The 14,276-nt window shown below is 50.2% G+C and overlaps 1 protein-coding gene across 3 annotated transcripts in view, besides 1 other annotated feature; it reads right to left on the bottom strand.

Moving 5' to 3' along the window:
* The window catches only part of CUX2 (cut like homeobox 2), a 316,390-nt gene extending 307,003 nt beyond the window's left edge, over window positions 1–9,387 (bottom strand). For 2 of the 3 annotated variants that reach the window (XM_017019081.2, NM_015267.4), the window contains exon 1: window positions 9,312–9,387. Coding sequence is in view for 1 of the 3 variants with exons in the window: in NM_015267.4 (NP_056082.2) it covers window positions 9,312–9,374 (63 nt within the window). In the remaining 2 variants the exon portion in view is untranslated. Of the gene's footprint in view, window positions 1–8,606; window positions 8,748–9,311 lie in introns of those variants that run through there. The other variant, XM_011538069.3, reaches the window with a different exon arrangement.
* Window positions 1,812–2,578: an enhancer, noted in NCBI's record as "NANOG-H3K4me1 hESC enhancer chr12:111478778-111479544 (GRCh37/hg19 assembly coordinates)". NCBI's record gives its function as "activates a minimal SCP1, AML or CMV promoter by ChIP-STARR-seq in naive H9 embryonic stem cells {active_cell/tissue: H9 hESC(naive)}" and the evidence as "EXISTENCE:reporter gene assay evidence [ECO:0000049][PMID:30033119]".

The following is a 14,276-nucleotide window of genomic DNA, read 5'->3' as shown; positions in this document are numbered from 1 at the left end:
CATGAGCCACCGCACCCGGCCACCATGCAGTGTCGTATTATATCCTCCATCCCTACTCCTCATTGGCAGGTGGCAAAAGTGAGAATGAGACAGGCCCAGTAACCTGCTCAGAATCTTCTCCCGGCCATACTGCTTTCTTCAGTTCCTTGGAGGCACAATTCTTCCACCCTTCTCGGGGTCTCTGCAAATGCTGTTCCCTCTTCTGAGATGCTTTTCCCTAACCTTGTCCTTGAGATCTCAACAGAAGGGTCATTTCTTCCAGGAAGCATCCCCTGAGGTCCAGACCCAGGCAATTCCTTTGCCATATACTGTCTCGGAATCTACTCCCCTTGCCCGTCTGTGAAATGGCATGTGCATCCACTCGTCCCATGGCCTGTGGGCTCTGAGAGAGCTGGCACCTTGCCTTCCTTGCTTACTATATCATCTTTAATATGTAATTATTAGTTATTGTATTTGTTTTTTATATATAATTATTTATACCGTAAGTGGTGAATGTACAGTTCTGGAGTGAAGGATAACAGCAATTATTATTCACTTTAACATTATATCATGTTTCAATGTGCTGGGCATGGATCTCAGCGCTTCATATGCATTAACTCACTTAATCCTCAAAACAGGCTGGGCACGGTGGCTCACACCTGTAATCCCAGCACTTTGAGAGGTTGAGTTGGGAGAATCACTTGAGCTTAGGAGTTCGAGACTAGCCTGGGTAGCATGGTGAGACCTCCACTTCTACGTTAAAAAAAAAAAAAAAAGCCAGGCGTGGTGGCGGTGCACCTATAATCCCAGCTACTTGGGAGGCTGAGATGGGAGGATCATCTGAGCCTAGAAGGTTGAGGCTGCAGTGAGCCCTGATGGCACCGTTGCACTCCAGCCTGGGTGACAGACTGAGACCTCGTCTCAAAAAAATAATAATAAAAGTCCTCACAACAATTCTTAAGGAGGTGGCTACTACTATTATCCCCATTTTATATATGAGAAAAGTGAGGCTCAGAAAGGTTAATTGACTCATCCAAGGTCACACAGCTGGTAAGTGGCAGAGCTGGGATTTGAACCGAGGCCTGCTGGCTCCAGAGTCCAGGTAGTCTTTGGGGGTGGAGGGTGTAGGGCTTGATTCCGCAGCTCACACCACATCCCCTGGGACACCCGCACCCATAGACACTCGTAGCAGATGACAGACACTCACAGGCATCTGTAGCAGCAAGGCCTAGGAGTGATGGCCCCACTCAGGGAAATCTGCCCTGGACTGGCGGCCCCTGTGACCCCTGTGGTCTCCGGATCCGCAACACCCACAGTCCACACCGGCGGCTGGGCAAGTCAATCGACCATAATGGTTCCCCGGGAGCCATTTACCCCGTCCAGCTTGAGCGACGGCGGCTCACAGAGTCTTAAGCACCGTTGGGCCCCCCAGCGTCTCTGGGCAGACGACCAGCTCAGGCCAAAGAGGCCGAAGGATTGATTTCTTTCTTTCTTTCTTTGTTTTTAATGGCAAATGCATATCCTGGAACTGCTGTTTCATTGGGCTGAACTGAAGACTGGCAGAGGCTGGGGTGTGCTCCGGAGGGGTTTCGGGGGACAGCCACAGGCCCACTTTTGGGGGTGTGGGCTCCTGGGAAGAAGCAGAGACAGCAGGCTCTGAACCCTACTAACCGGGTATCTTCATGCATTGGTCAGGAGCCTTTCATTTGTTCTGGAAATGCAGCCTCTTCTGGAACTAGGCACTGGGAAGGTGCGGCCTGTGGCCTTGAACTACAGAGAAGACCCTCCTCAGGACTCCGACAGCTGGCCTGACCCACTGAGGACCCCTGGCACAGGGCCCTGGCACTGGGTGTTCCCTCTGCCTGGAAATGTCCCTCCCAGGTCTCCACTCCCCTTCTCCATTGGACCTGCCCACAGTGGCCAGAGCTCCTGATTTTCAGGGGACACTGGTCACCTAGATTTCTTAGGTAAATCTCTTGTGTTTTAAATGCTGACAACTTACACAAAAGTGTTTTTAAATATCTCACTAATCTAGACAGACACATCCATGGGCCAGACATAGCTCCCCGTCTGCAATTTCTGTGGTCAGAACTCCCAAAATATACTACATATAATATTAGTACAATACTAATATAGTAACCCCAAAGGAGTAAGAGAGAAGAGAAAACTTGCTCAGAAATCTCTAAAACAGCCTGCAAGGCCAGCAAGTTCCAGCCGCTGCTGTTTATTTGGTTTTCTCCTCTCATACTCTAAAAATACCAATGACAATAGGAAGTCACTCAGATTCACAGGGCAGCAACTGTGTGCCCCACACTGTGCTAAACACTTTCATGTTCAAAGTGGTTTGATCTTCCTGAACAACCTAGAAGGCGGAGACTATTATTAGTCCCATTTAAAGACAAAGAAAGTAAGGCTTGGAGAGGTTAAGTGACTCATCCAAGGTCACACAGCTAGTAGGTGATGGAGCCAGGATTTGAAGCCAGGCAGGGGCCTCTCACTGCTCTGACTCTTCATGCTTCTCTCTGGAGGGAAAGGGTCAAGAACAAGTTTTGGGAACTGAGTTTGATCCACTTTAATACTCTTAACTGAAAAGTTAAAATTTCAGCCATGCCACAGCCTATATATGACAGCCATGACATAGACCAGTAGACCCAGGGCAGGCAAACTACAGCTCTCAGGCCAAAACCGGCCCCCTGCCTGTTTGTATAAATAAAGTTTTATTGGAACACAGCCACGTCCATTCATTCTCATTGTGGCTGTTTCATGCTAATGGCAGAGTGGAGGCTTATGGTCCACGAAGCCCAGTGTATTATTATCCAACTCTATAGAAAAAGGTTGGCCCCATCTGATGGTAAACCTAGCATGTGTAGAGAGAGACCATACCCTGAGAGGGTTCTATGGTCAAAACCCTCTGGGGTGTCCTTAGCAATATGGGAGCACATCTGCATATTACAGTGGGGAAACAGTGGTGGAAGCTTCTTTAGTTTTCTTTAGGCTGAGTGGTCACGACATTTGGGCTCAGAATGAAAGAGATGAAGGAGCCAACCACAGAGAGATGGGAGGGAAAGGGTCGCAGGCAGAGGAAAGCATACATGCAAAGGCCCTGAGGTGGGGACATGCTTGATGTGTTTGTGGGACAAAGAGAAGGCCGCTGCGGTACAGTGGTTGGAGAGGGAGCCAGAGAGATTGAGAGAATGGGGCAGATCCTGGGGGATCTGTCAGGGAAAAAAAATTTGAATTTTAATCTAAACATGATAGGAGTATATTTTTTTCCGTTTTTTTTTTTTAAACAGGGTCTTGCTCAGTTGCTCAGGCTGGAGTGCAATGGTATGATCATAGCTCAGTGCAGCCTCCACCTCCTGGGCTCAAGCAATCCTCCCACCTCAGCCTCCTGAGTATCTGGGACTGCAGGCAGGTGCCACCATGTCCAGCTAATTTTTTTATTTTTTGTAGAGAAGGGGTATCACTATGTTGCCCAGGCTGGTCTCAAACTCCTGGCCTCAAGCAATCCTCCCACCTCAGCCTGCCAAAGTGCTGGGATTATAGGCATGAGCCACCTCGCCTGGGCCATGATAGGAATATAATGTCTACATCCTCCAAAACACTACAAGCCATTTTGGTGAAGGGCTCACTGAGGCTTAGAAACCAAATAACTCCATCCTAGACATAATTTTTTGTTTCAAAAATATTGCTTAAAAGGTCAATAGCCCCACCACCACGACCATGATGGAGAAAGAAGGGGAGGGGCCCAAGGTCATCACACTTGTAATCCCAGCACTTTAAGAGGCCGAGGCTGGTGGATCATTTGAGGTCAGGACTTCAAGACCAGCCTGGTCAACACTGCAAAACCCCGTCTCTACTAAAAATACAAAAATTAGCCAGGCGTGGTGGCATGCGCCTATAGTTCCAACTACTTGGGAATCACGTGAACCCGGGAGGCGGAGGTTGCAGTGAGCTGAGATTGCACCACTGCACTCCAGCCTGGGTGGCAGAGCGAGACTCCATCTTGAAAAAACAAAAAAGAAGAAGACAATGCATTTAAGTGACCCACAAAGGTGTCAGCATCCTTCACCTTTACAATAACTCGTACAGCAAAGTTGGGCACAGCCAGCTGACTTCAAGGGTTAAGAAGCAGGAGACTTGGGATGTGGGATGATTCACCCAGGAGCACTAAAGGCCACACAGAATACAGTTCTTGGGGTCCTTCCCCCCTGCCAACCTCTACCATCCCTGACACCCTCCAGTATATGACACCATCATAAATAATGAGCACCCCCAGAGGAAAAATATCAAACAGAAGATGGGACCCTGAATCCCAAGGCCAGGAACAAAGGCAGGTCACCACCTGAGTCCCCTTCCAATGCTTCACCTCTGCCAGGCCCGGCCTTTGAATTAGATAGCCAGGAAGCCACCGGAAATTCAGCCCTTTCAGAAGCAGCACAGAAAACCACAGTTTCTGGGCAGCCTTGTCTACCATCATCCAGGACCATATATTTAGCACTAGCCAAGGTGCTCACGTTTGAAATCCCATCTGCCGGAAGAAAGGTTACCATGACAGAATGTCAAGTTCGAAGATAGAATCCTCTTTTTAACAGGAGAGTTTAAAAAAAAAAATAAGGAAAAAAGTAAAAGAAAGAAAAACCACCACCACCATCAGAAAAGCTGTTCCCTCTGGTCAAAATAGCACCGTGCTCATCTGAAATAACCCACCGAGACACTTATTTGCTTCTTTTAGCTGGTCCGTGGTTTCTCCATTTTCTACAGTGAATTCAAGTATTAATAAAAGAAATTTCAAGACCCCCAACAGTAAAACCAGTGAGGGATGAGATGTTGCTTGTTTTTTCTTCTAGCATTCAAAGAGAGAGCCCGTTTTTGAGAAGCAATCTCTGTCAAGTTGAGAAACTACAATTTTGGGAGACCCAGAAAAGGCTGCTGGGTTCTTTAAATAAATTCTCAACACCTGTTTCTAGCTCTTTCTGCAGAAAAGGGCCACAGGGTGTGGGTTCTACGGACTTGGAGAGGCAGAGGGAATGGGGTCACCCACTGGCTGGAGTTAGAAGAGAGTCCAAGGGTTTGTCTTATTCTCAGAGCTGTCTTCACCTAATGCCAACCCCTCTCAGGGGGCTGAGCCATGCCAAGCTCTGCGGGCTCACGCTCCCCACCTCGGCTGCAATTGGACCTCGGCAGCAATTCTATTATGGTGAAGTTTCCAAAGTTAGGATTCCGCCAACAGGGCTGATAGCTTATTTACTGCTGTCATCTATAGAAAGAGGAATTTTGACACATTGTTAAATGATAGCACATTTAGATAAGTCAAGCTGTCAGAGGCTCTAATGGATGTCTAAACTCTCTGTGGCTGATATGTAAAATTTATGCACTTCAGAATATCATAAGGTTATAATATTTTAATCACATCCCTGCTCTTTTCTAAACTTTGAGCAGGGGAAAATATTCCATCAAGCACCATCTTGCTCTCCTGCGCCAGGAGATTGAGTGTTCCCGGAAGTTTCTCCAAACTCCTTGGAAAAGTCCGGCCTCTCTTTGCTCATCCTGTTGATCTTTCTCCCAACTGCTGACACCCGAAGCAGAATTTGCCCCTTCCTCCCAGATTAGTACTATGTAATCCTATTGACCAAGCTCCTTTCTCCCCAGAAACACAGATGGGCATTTGGACCGAGGACCCTCATTTGGACTGGGTGCCCCCCAGCTCATTGTTAGCTCAATTAACCCTCTTTGGAGTCAGGGAAGACAGCATGGGAGACTGGACCCAGAGCATGGTAAAAAAAAAAAGTAGAAAGTTAAGCAGAAAAAGAAAATCATAAAGGTATGAATCCGGTTACGACGATTATACACAGAAAAGCCATAAAAAAATACTGCATTAGTAATGTTCACCATAAAGCAATCTTATAACCAAATGAAATATGCCTAGCATTATCTTTGGATGGAATTTTATTTCTTCTCGTTTCCTGAGCTGCTAGCAGCAAAGGCAAAAAAGAAGCAAAGACGGGGGGAGGTAGTTTCAGGAGTGCCGGAGTAGGGTGGCACATGTCAGATCACCTTTACCATCGGCCCAAAGTCATTAAGGTTGTTGACTGACTTCCAGCCTAGGAAAACAGCCCTGCTGTGTACAGAGACGGCGCTGGAAGGAATAATAACTGGAACGCTTCCATTTTTGAAAAATATACGTTTCCGGAGGGCTGGACACCGGGCTGGTACAAGGTCACCTTTCTTGCCAGGATCGGTATGGCGTCAGCGACGTGGTATGGCCTGGGGACACGGGGCCGCCCATGTTGCCTCGGCCACTTTAATGCTCAGCAACCACGCTGCGAGAAACCATTCAACCTGAACAGCCAGGAATGAAAGCCACGCACCTCCTCACATCACAGGCAGCTCAGCCTCGGGACGCGGGACCCCGGCTCTCCGGCTGCCTGGGGCTGGGCACGGGGACCTGCCTCTCCTACCTGGATCTCAGAAAAAGCCGGCAGAAGTTCTCCTTTCTGGCTATCTCCCCTATAAGAGGAAAGTAGGGGAGGGGCAAAAAATGAAAATAAAAGTGTGTCGTAGGAGTCACTGGCATTATGTACAAGAGAGGATCCCAGGCCAAAGTGCTTAGGCTCCTAATCCACTTCCAACAAAAATGCCATCAGTGAGGATATGGGGTGGGGTGGGGGTGGGGGGCTGCGGGCCTGTTGGCCAGGGGACCAGCTGAAGATTTCAGGCTGGGGGTGGGGAACGCGGCAGATGGAGGGCCAAAATGTTTGCACGCGGCCACGGCTGCCACGTTTATTTCTTTGCTTTCTAGAAGTGTGCTGCCTTGCAAACTCCCACAGGGACACCCCCTCCACTTAATATCGATGTAAATGAGTTTACCCCCCTTCCCTGAGAGCCTTCTCCTGTGTGCCAGACACACTAGCCATTGTTTTAACGAACAACCCCCCCCTTCACATATACACCCTGTAGGCTGGGAGGTCTGGGTCCTATCTCCCCATCACCTGAACAAACCCCTCCACCACCCCCTACCTTTATCCTTTCCAGTTCAAATTTGCTTTCCATCTATGCATCTTCTAAAACCCTAACAAAGGGTTCCCAGATTAATGGGCGTCCAGCTGGAATCAAGATTTGGGTGACCTCAACCGTTCCACAAAAGACCCCTTGGGTAGAAGACTGAAGACAGTGAGGTTCCAACCTCCCTAGTTCAGACATTAGCCCCCTGGGAGCCGCACCCTCCCCTCAGCACCCAGCCCCTGCCTCTCCCCGGGCTGCAGCCCGAGCTCCCCGGATTGAAAACGAGTTATCTAATGAAAATTGTGTTAACTGACATTCCGGCCGACCGGGAGCAAATACCAGCGCTGTAAATCTCGCCGCGGAAATTTTCTCCAGCCCAGAATAACAATAGGACCCTGCAAAGGGCTTTCGCCAGCCCTTCTGGTTCCTCTCCTCTTGTGTGCCACGTTCTTGTCATTCCTTATGTTACAGAACATCAATCATAAATAAAGACGCTGTCCCCCAGCCGTGCCCGGGTCTCATTTACAAACATTAGCAGGGAATACGATTACCATTGGCCTTCGTGCCAAGCCCAATGTGGCTGCCCAATTCTCCCTCTCTCTCTCTCTCTCTGCCTCCATAACCCCCACTCTTCCAGAAAGGCCACTTTAGCATCATTTAAGCCGGCAGGCACAGCTCGCAGCCCTGCCCGTCTCAGTTGGCCACCAAACTGTAGCCCCAACTCGAGTGCGGACCCGGAATTGCAAGGCACTCGGCAGTTATTAACTGCATGCCTCAGTGCCCCGATTTTCTCCCCAGCTCAATGGCTTTGGGGGAGGGGGAGAGCGAGGAGTGGGGCGTTCGGAAGGACGGGGACTGGGAAGCGGCCAGGACGGGGAGAAGGCGCGGGTGCTGGAACCACTTATCAGAAGAAACTTAACGAGATTTGCCGGCGGATTAAAAAAAAAAAAAAAAGTGGGTCCCTTTTTATCTCCAGACTGATGATCTCGCGTCTTCCGCGAATGTCACGGTCAAGGCAGGATGCTCTAACCGCCCTGTTATCCGCACCATTTTCCCGCCCCTGATCCCCGCCGCACCCGCCGAGACTTTGCGAGACTCCAAGGCTGGGGGGCCTTGCCAGGCGCGTCCGGGGCACTCCGGGAAAGAACAGAGGCCGGAGCCGCGCCTCCACGGTGCGTTCTCTGAGATTCCACCTCCCAGCCCCGGCTCCTACGGGGTCCGCAGAGAACACCTCCAAATCTAGGGGAGGCACACAGACTCCCACAAAGGGAGGATGGGGAGAAAGTGATGGGGTTTCGAAGAGTCGCCCTAGGGAAGGAGAGAGAAAGAGCAGGGAAGAGAGGAAAGAAACAGAAGAAAAGCAGAGACGGGAGAGAGGAGACGAGGGGAGCAGCGGGGAGAAACGCAGGAGGCAGAACAAGCAAGGAAATCTCTCATTTAAAAGTTCCCTTGGGCCCGAGGGCTGGGAGTCACCTGCTCTGCGCCGCTCCCGGCTCTCCACCGCCCTGGAGGCAGGAGCGCAAACTTGCGAGCGCCCGGGCCCACCTCCACCGCCCGTCTGCATCTAGACTTGGGAAGGGGATGGAAGGGGCGGGGGGGTAAAGGCAAGAAGCAAGACGAACCCCAAGACCCCGGCCCGAGGAGAAGAGGTCTGCCGGCGCTTGCGGCCAGTCCGGCGGCGGCGGCTCTGGCGGCGGCGGCGGCGGCCCCCGGGTGGCGGCGCGTCCGGGCTGCGCAGCCAGGCGGGCGGCGAAGGCTGAGGTGCCGGCGAGCGGCGGGGCGCGGAGCCGCCTCCTCGCCAACCCCGGCTCCCTCCTCCTCTCTCCTCCTCCTCCTCCTCTCCTCCTCCTCCTCCCTGCCCGCCAGCTCCCTCCCTCCCTCGCCGGAGCCCCAGCCGGGTGCGGACTGGCAAGCGGCGCGCTCCGCGGCCTCCCCGGGCGCCGCGAAGTTGGGAGGCGCGCAAAGTGCGGCTCAGGGGGGACCGCCGGGGGTTCCCGCCAGCAGCCCCCTGCCCGAGGCCGTAGCCCCTGCCTTCCCCGCTCCTCGCCCGGCCGCCTGGCCGCTCGGCCGCTCCGCCGACCGAGGGCTCACTAGCGCTTCTCCATGGTCGCGGCAGCTAATCGATGACTGAACCGAACAAAGAGCAGCGGCGAGATCAATTCCTAATACCTATCGATGGGCAGCGGGCGGCCGAGCCCCGGCGAGCCCCGGCAGCCGCCGCCCGCCGCCCCAGGGCGTCCGCCTGCCCGCCCGGGGACCTCCCCAATGCGCCCAGGGCGCGCCCGGGGGCTCCTCACGGCCGCGCGGCCGGCGCTGCCCGCACTAACCTGGAGTCGCCGTAGATCAAATCGCTTCCAATATTGAAACATCGATCCCACATTGGCGGCCATCTTGGGGGCTATCGAGACGCGCACACACAAGAGTTTGGCTTTTCTCAATGGCTGCACTCAATATCCGGGCTGGACTCCCCCCAGCCCCGGGGCCGCCGCCGGCCGCCCGGGCCCTGAGCGCCGCGGCCCGGGGCCCCTCGGGCGCCCTCCGGCCTCCTGCCACCCGCTGCCCCTCGCCGCCGCCGCGCCGCCGCCGCCGCCGCCGCCAACGGGCCCGGGAGCCGTGCGCCCCCCCGACCCCCGGAGGGCGCGGGCGGAGCGCGCCGGGCGGGGAGCTCGGCGCCCGCCCGGGGGAGGCAGCCGGGGATGGGGTGGGAGGGGAGGGGTTGGGGGGAGGCAGCCTCTCCGAGAGGCGCCGGCGCCGCCGCTGCCCTGCCTGCCGCCGGCTCCCGGGCCCGCGGAGCGCTCGCTGCATCTCCCCCCCAAGTCCGGGGTCGGTGTGCCGCGCGATTGCACTTGACTTTGGCTTTTTGCAAACTTATCAATACTGACGTAACGTGCTGATCAATGCAAAGGGAAGTTTGGGAGGGGGCGCTGCGGGAGGCGGGCGCGCGGGGCGCCTACCCCCGCTTGCACCTGTCTACCCCCAGCTCCCGGCATTGCACGCTTAAAAAAAAGTTAATAGTTTGAAATGCATTTTTTTTTCTTTTGCAATCGGAGCACACACAACACGTGCCTCGGGCTGCCGCCGCTCCATCGCCAGATATGCTTGGGATCCGAGGGTCGCAGCCAGCACTTGGGGCTGCGTAGACGCGCCGGCCGGAGGGAGGGTGGGAGCCGCCCGGGGGCGCCACTGAGTCGTGGGAAATGTCACCACCACCGCCCACAGTTTCCGCGCCATTATATTATTATTATTGGCGGGGAGGGGGGCTTCGTCTGAGTAGTAGCTCAGGGTTCTTTACGGGCGGGGGCCGAGGGCGGGGCCTCAGGTCCTTTGGAATAGGGATTTCTGTTGTTATTATCTGGGGGGTCTTTAACCCAATTATAGGGACTCCCCCACAGCTTTGCAAGGTGAAACCCTTTTACTGTGATGATGATTATTGGAGGTTTTGTTATTTGGTTCTGAACCAAACCTCTGGAGGGCCTTTTCCCCCAGTGGGCTTGTTTTATTGTTATGACTGTTGAGGGTGCCCTACCCCTGCTGTGGGGGCTCCGGATCCTTAAAAACCTCGGAGGTTTCTGCTGTTGTTATCATCATTATTATCCGGGGCTCCGTTCTTTGCAACATGACATTCCTTTATTGTGATTGTCTTTGGGGAGAGGGTCTTCAGCATGGCTAGAGGGAGGTTCCGGTCCTTTGCAATTCTTCGGACTCTTGACAACCGGGGTGACTGGATTTCTTGTTTTACATTTTTCTGTCTGCTTTTTTGTTTGTTTGTTTGTTTGTTTGTTTGTTTGTTTTTGCCTCTGTGCAAGCTCGAGGTCCTCTGTTTCCACTTCCCCTGGAGGTGAGATGTCACCTCCAGGGGGAACTCATACTCCCAGCCCCCTCCATCACCAACCCCCTTGCCTATCCCTGCCACCACCCTTAAAGGTGAGGTCACCCTTCCTCTCTGGCTTATTCCCCTGATACATAGCACCGCACCCTCTTCCCCACTCAAAAAAAGGGGACATGTTTTTCCTTTTTCTCTGATCAAAAGATTTGCTTTTATGGACAGCAAATGGAAATTATATTCTTTTTATGACCCAGCCTAGACTTCTGACATCACTCTTGGTCTGGGACAATAGATCAATACAGTGGGTTATAAAAAAGATAAAGTTTAGAAGAGTTATAAAGAAGAGAGAATCATGATGGATATTTTTGATGATTTTCCAATATTTGTGTCTCAGAGCACGTGCTTTGAGGCAATTAAAGTTTTTAATGTAATGTAAATAATTGTTTCATAAATGCTTCGGAAGAAGGTGTGATCTTTCTGAGCAATCATTTGAGCTGTTTAAAAAATGAAATGTGATTTAAACAAGGATACAGTATTTCTGTTTCCATTCCCATACATTTTCCATGAGGTCTGGGTAAATATATTAATGCAGGAGTTGAAAGACGCGTAAGACCAAAAGTACTGCATTCACCGAGATGTAATGAATTAGGCCTAGTTAGCAATTCCGAGTGGCCTGTTTCCCTGCCAGATTAAATTGCACGTGATGTGTGGTTTATCTCAGCTCTCGATAACTTCAGGTTTAAATTACAGCTCTCATTCTGCAAAATGAATTTAGGGAAATTTCATAACTATCACATTACAATTTTTTAAATGGCTACATTTTTCTCCTGAGCATCTGTAAAGCTTGTGGCTTCCTTGTCTTTGGGTCTGCTTTTTAAAGTCCTACTAGAGTGCGTGTGAAACCCTTCCAAGCAATGTTTAACAAGCCAAGGGTTTGATGAAGAAAATTATTTTAAACTTATGTGTGATTTTGCAGGAACAGGACGCACTGACATCGTGTACCTCCTGATATGTTGTGCTTGAAGGACAGATCACTTCTGTGGTATTCCTGCCAAAGAGGTATAATCTAAATCTAATTGTGAAGAAATATCAGACAACCCCAAATGGAGGGGAAAATTCTACAAAATAAACAGCCTGTTCACTTCAAAAACATCAGTGGCACATGAAACACACAATAATGGAGGAACTATTTCCAATTAAAGGAAACTAAAGAGACTTGACAAGTGATTATAACGTACGATCCTGGATTTTCTTTTACTATAAAGTGGATGAATTAGAACCAATGACAAATTTAAAATAAAGTCAATAGATCAGATAATAGTGTTATATCGATGTTAATTTCCTGATTTTGACTATTATACTGTGGCTATGTAACAAAATATCCTTGTTTTTAGAGAACACACTGAAGTATTTAGGGATAAAGGGACAGACATCATGTCTCCAACTCTCAAGCAATGCAGATGAAAATAATATGTACCTATTTATTTATCTATATATGTCTACCTAGACACAGTGATAAAGCAATGTTGCAAAATGTTAACATTTGAAGATTCTAGGTGACTAGTACACAGAAATTCCTTCTACTTTCTTGGCAAGATTTCTAGGAATCTGAAAGTGCATTAAAAGAAAAAAATAGATAAATCTAGGTCTGACTTTGTTTCACCTGTTAGGGACTACTGGCTTCCAAATAAAAATTCGGCACAGGACTTTCTACTTTCCTGACTGAAGTAGGCTGCACCTTTGACCCAGCAGGAAATTGCCACAGCAAACATGCTTACCGACGAGCAGCGAGAAAATCCAATAATTCAGATTGTTTTAAGTCTGTGATATTTTTACATGACTTAATGCAGTGGGTCTCTGAAGAATTCCAACAATTTTAATGGTAGAAACTTGTAGTCCCACAGAGGAATGGGTTGCTACATAAATACTGAATGATCGTGTCTTTCTGTCTGGGCTGAAACATATTAGCTTTGCCTAGTGGCTTATTGCTTTATTCACAAAATAAATTTCAGCCGTCTCTCCCCACCATATTCCAACTGCATCGTGTGCCTGTGCTTATTAGATGTGGGGGCTTCTACTCCAAAGGCATCTGTAACCATCTCAGACTTAGCAATAATGAATTGAGCAGATAAGTGTTTACCCCCAAACAGAATTAGCTGGGGAAATATTATGGGTGGTCCTTAATGAAGGATAATAAGCCAGGAAATTCAGACTTTGTCAGCAGACAATGGCCTTAGATTTAAGAACTAAAGCACTAACGTTTTAAATATTTTTGTGAAAAGCTGTTTTTCATGGTCTTAGCACACCCTCTGCCACAAACACACACACACGTACATAGATAAGGCAAAAACTTAAACAGGTTCCAGATTAATTCCTGATTCCCAAAGACTCACACATCAAGATGAGTATTAAAAAATTACTGTAGAAAAGAAAGTACCTCCCCTCCCCCAGAGGAATCAGAGGGCAGCTTGGGGCAGCCTATCCTAACAGCAGAAGCAGGCAGAGAGCCGGGATCCTTTAGGAAATTCACTAACTGTGCAAGAATCCCGGGGAAGATAATGGCAGGTCCTTAGCCACATACATAATGATATGCGAAATCCCCAGGATCAAAGCTGAAACAAAAGAAAATGTCCTTCGGTAGCTCCGCGTTGCCCACTGCAGCTGCCAGGCAGGGAGAAAAACAACTACAGAATCTGAATTCATCTGAAAGTATTAAACAGCACTAGGAGTAAGGGGTATGGGACTGTCTGGTGGACACCTGCAGGGTGTGTTCCTGGAGGCTGGCCCGTGGTTAGGTCCAGGATTCTGTGGCTAGAGTGACCTGCTACAAGGTCCAATCCTGGCACGATGCTGTCAACAACTGCCATTAGTAAACACCTCCTGGTTGTTGGATGCTTTATAAATAAACCACTAGCATAACACAGTGGCTAGGTGCATAGTGGTTAGGAGCCTAGAACATAGTGGTTAACAGCCATCTGGAGCCAGATTGTCTGGGTGTGAATTTCAACTCTGCCACTTACAAGCTCTGTGACCTTGGGCAAGTTATTTTACCTCTCTGTGCCTCATTTTCATCATGTATGCAATGGCTCTAATAATTGCGCCATTGCATACATGTGATGAGGATTAAATTAGTTAATCCATGTAAAGCACTGTGTAAATGTGCAGCATCTACTAGATCTCATTATTATTGGCCTCACAATGGACTGGGCAGGGATTGGTATTCCCATATTGCAGATGCAAAGACTGAGGCCTGGAGAGAAGTGGTTGGCTCATGGTCACATGGTTGTAAAGGGGCAAAACCAGGGTTACTACCTGGGTTCACTCACAGCAAGTTGGAGCTCTTTGCACTTGAGGCTGTTCTGCCTTTCGTGGAGGGGGAGAATGGGTGCAAAAGCAGATTCCCAGAAAGCAAAGGCTGCGGCCTGAGCCATGTGCCGATGCCCAGTGGCCAATGCTCCGTGGAGAG

The sequence above is a fragment of the Homo sapiens genome, chromosome 12 (assembly GCF_000001405.40).
Source record: "Homo sapiens chromosome 12, GRCh38.p14 Primary Assembly".
Lineage (NCBI taxonomy): Eukaryota > Metazoa > Chordata > Mammalia > Primates > Hominidae > Homo > Homo sapiens.
Note: the sequence above shows the minus strand (reverse complement) of the source record. Positions and strands in the feature narration are given on the sequence as shown.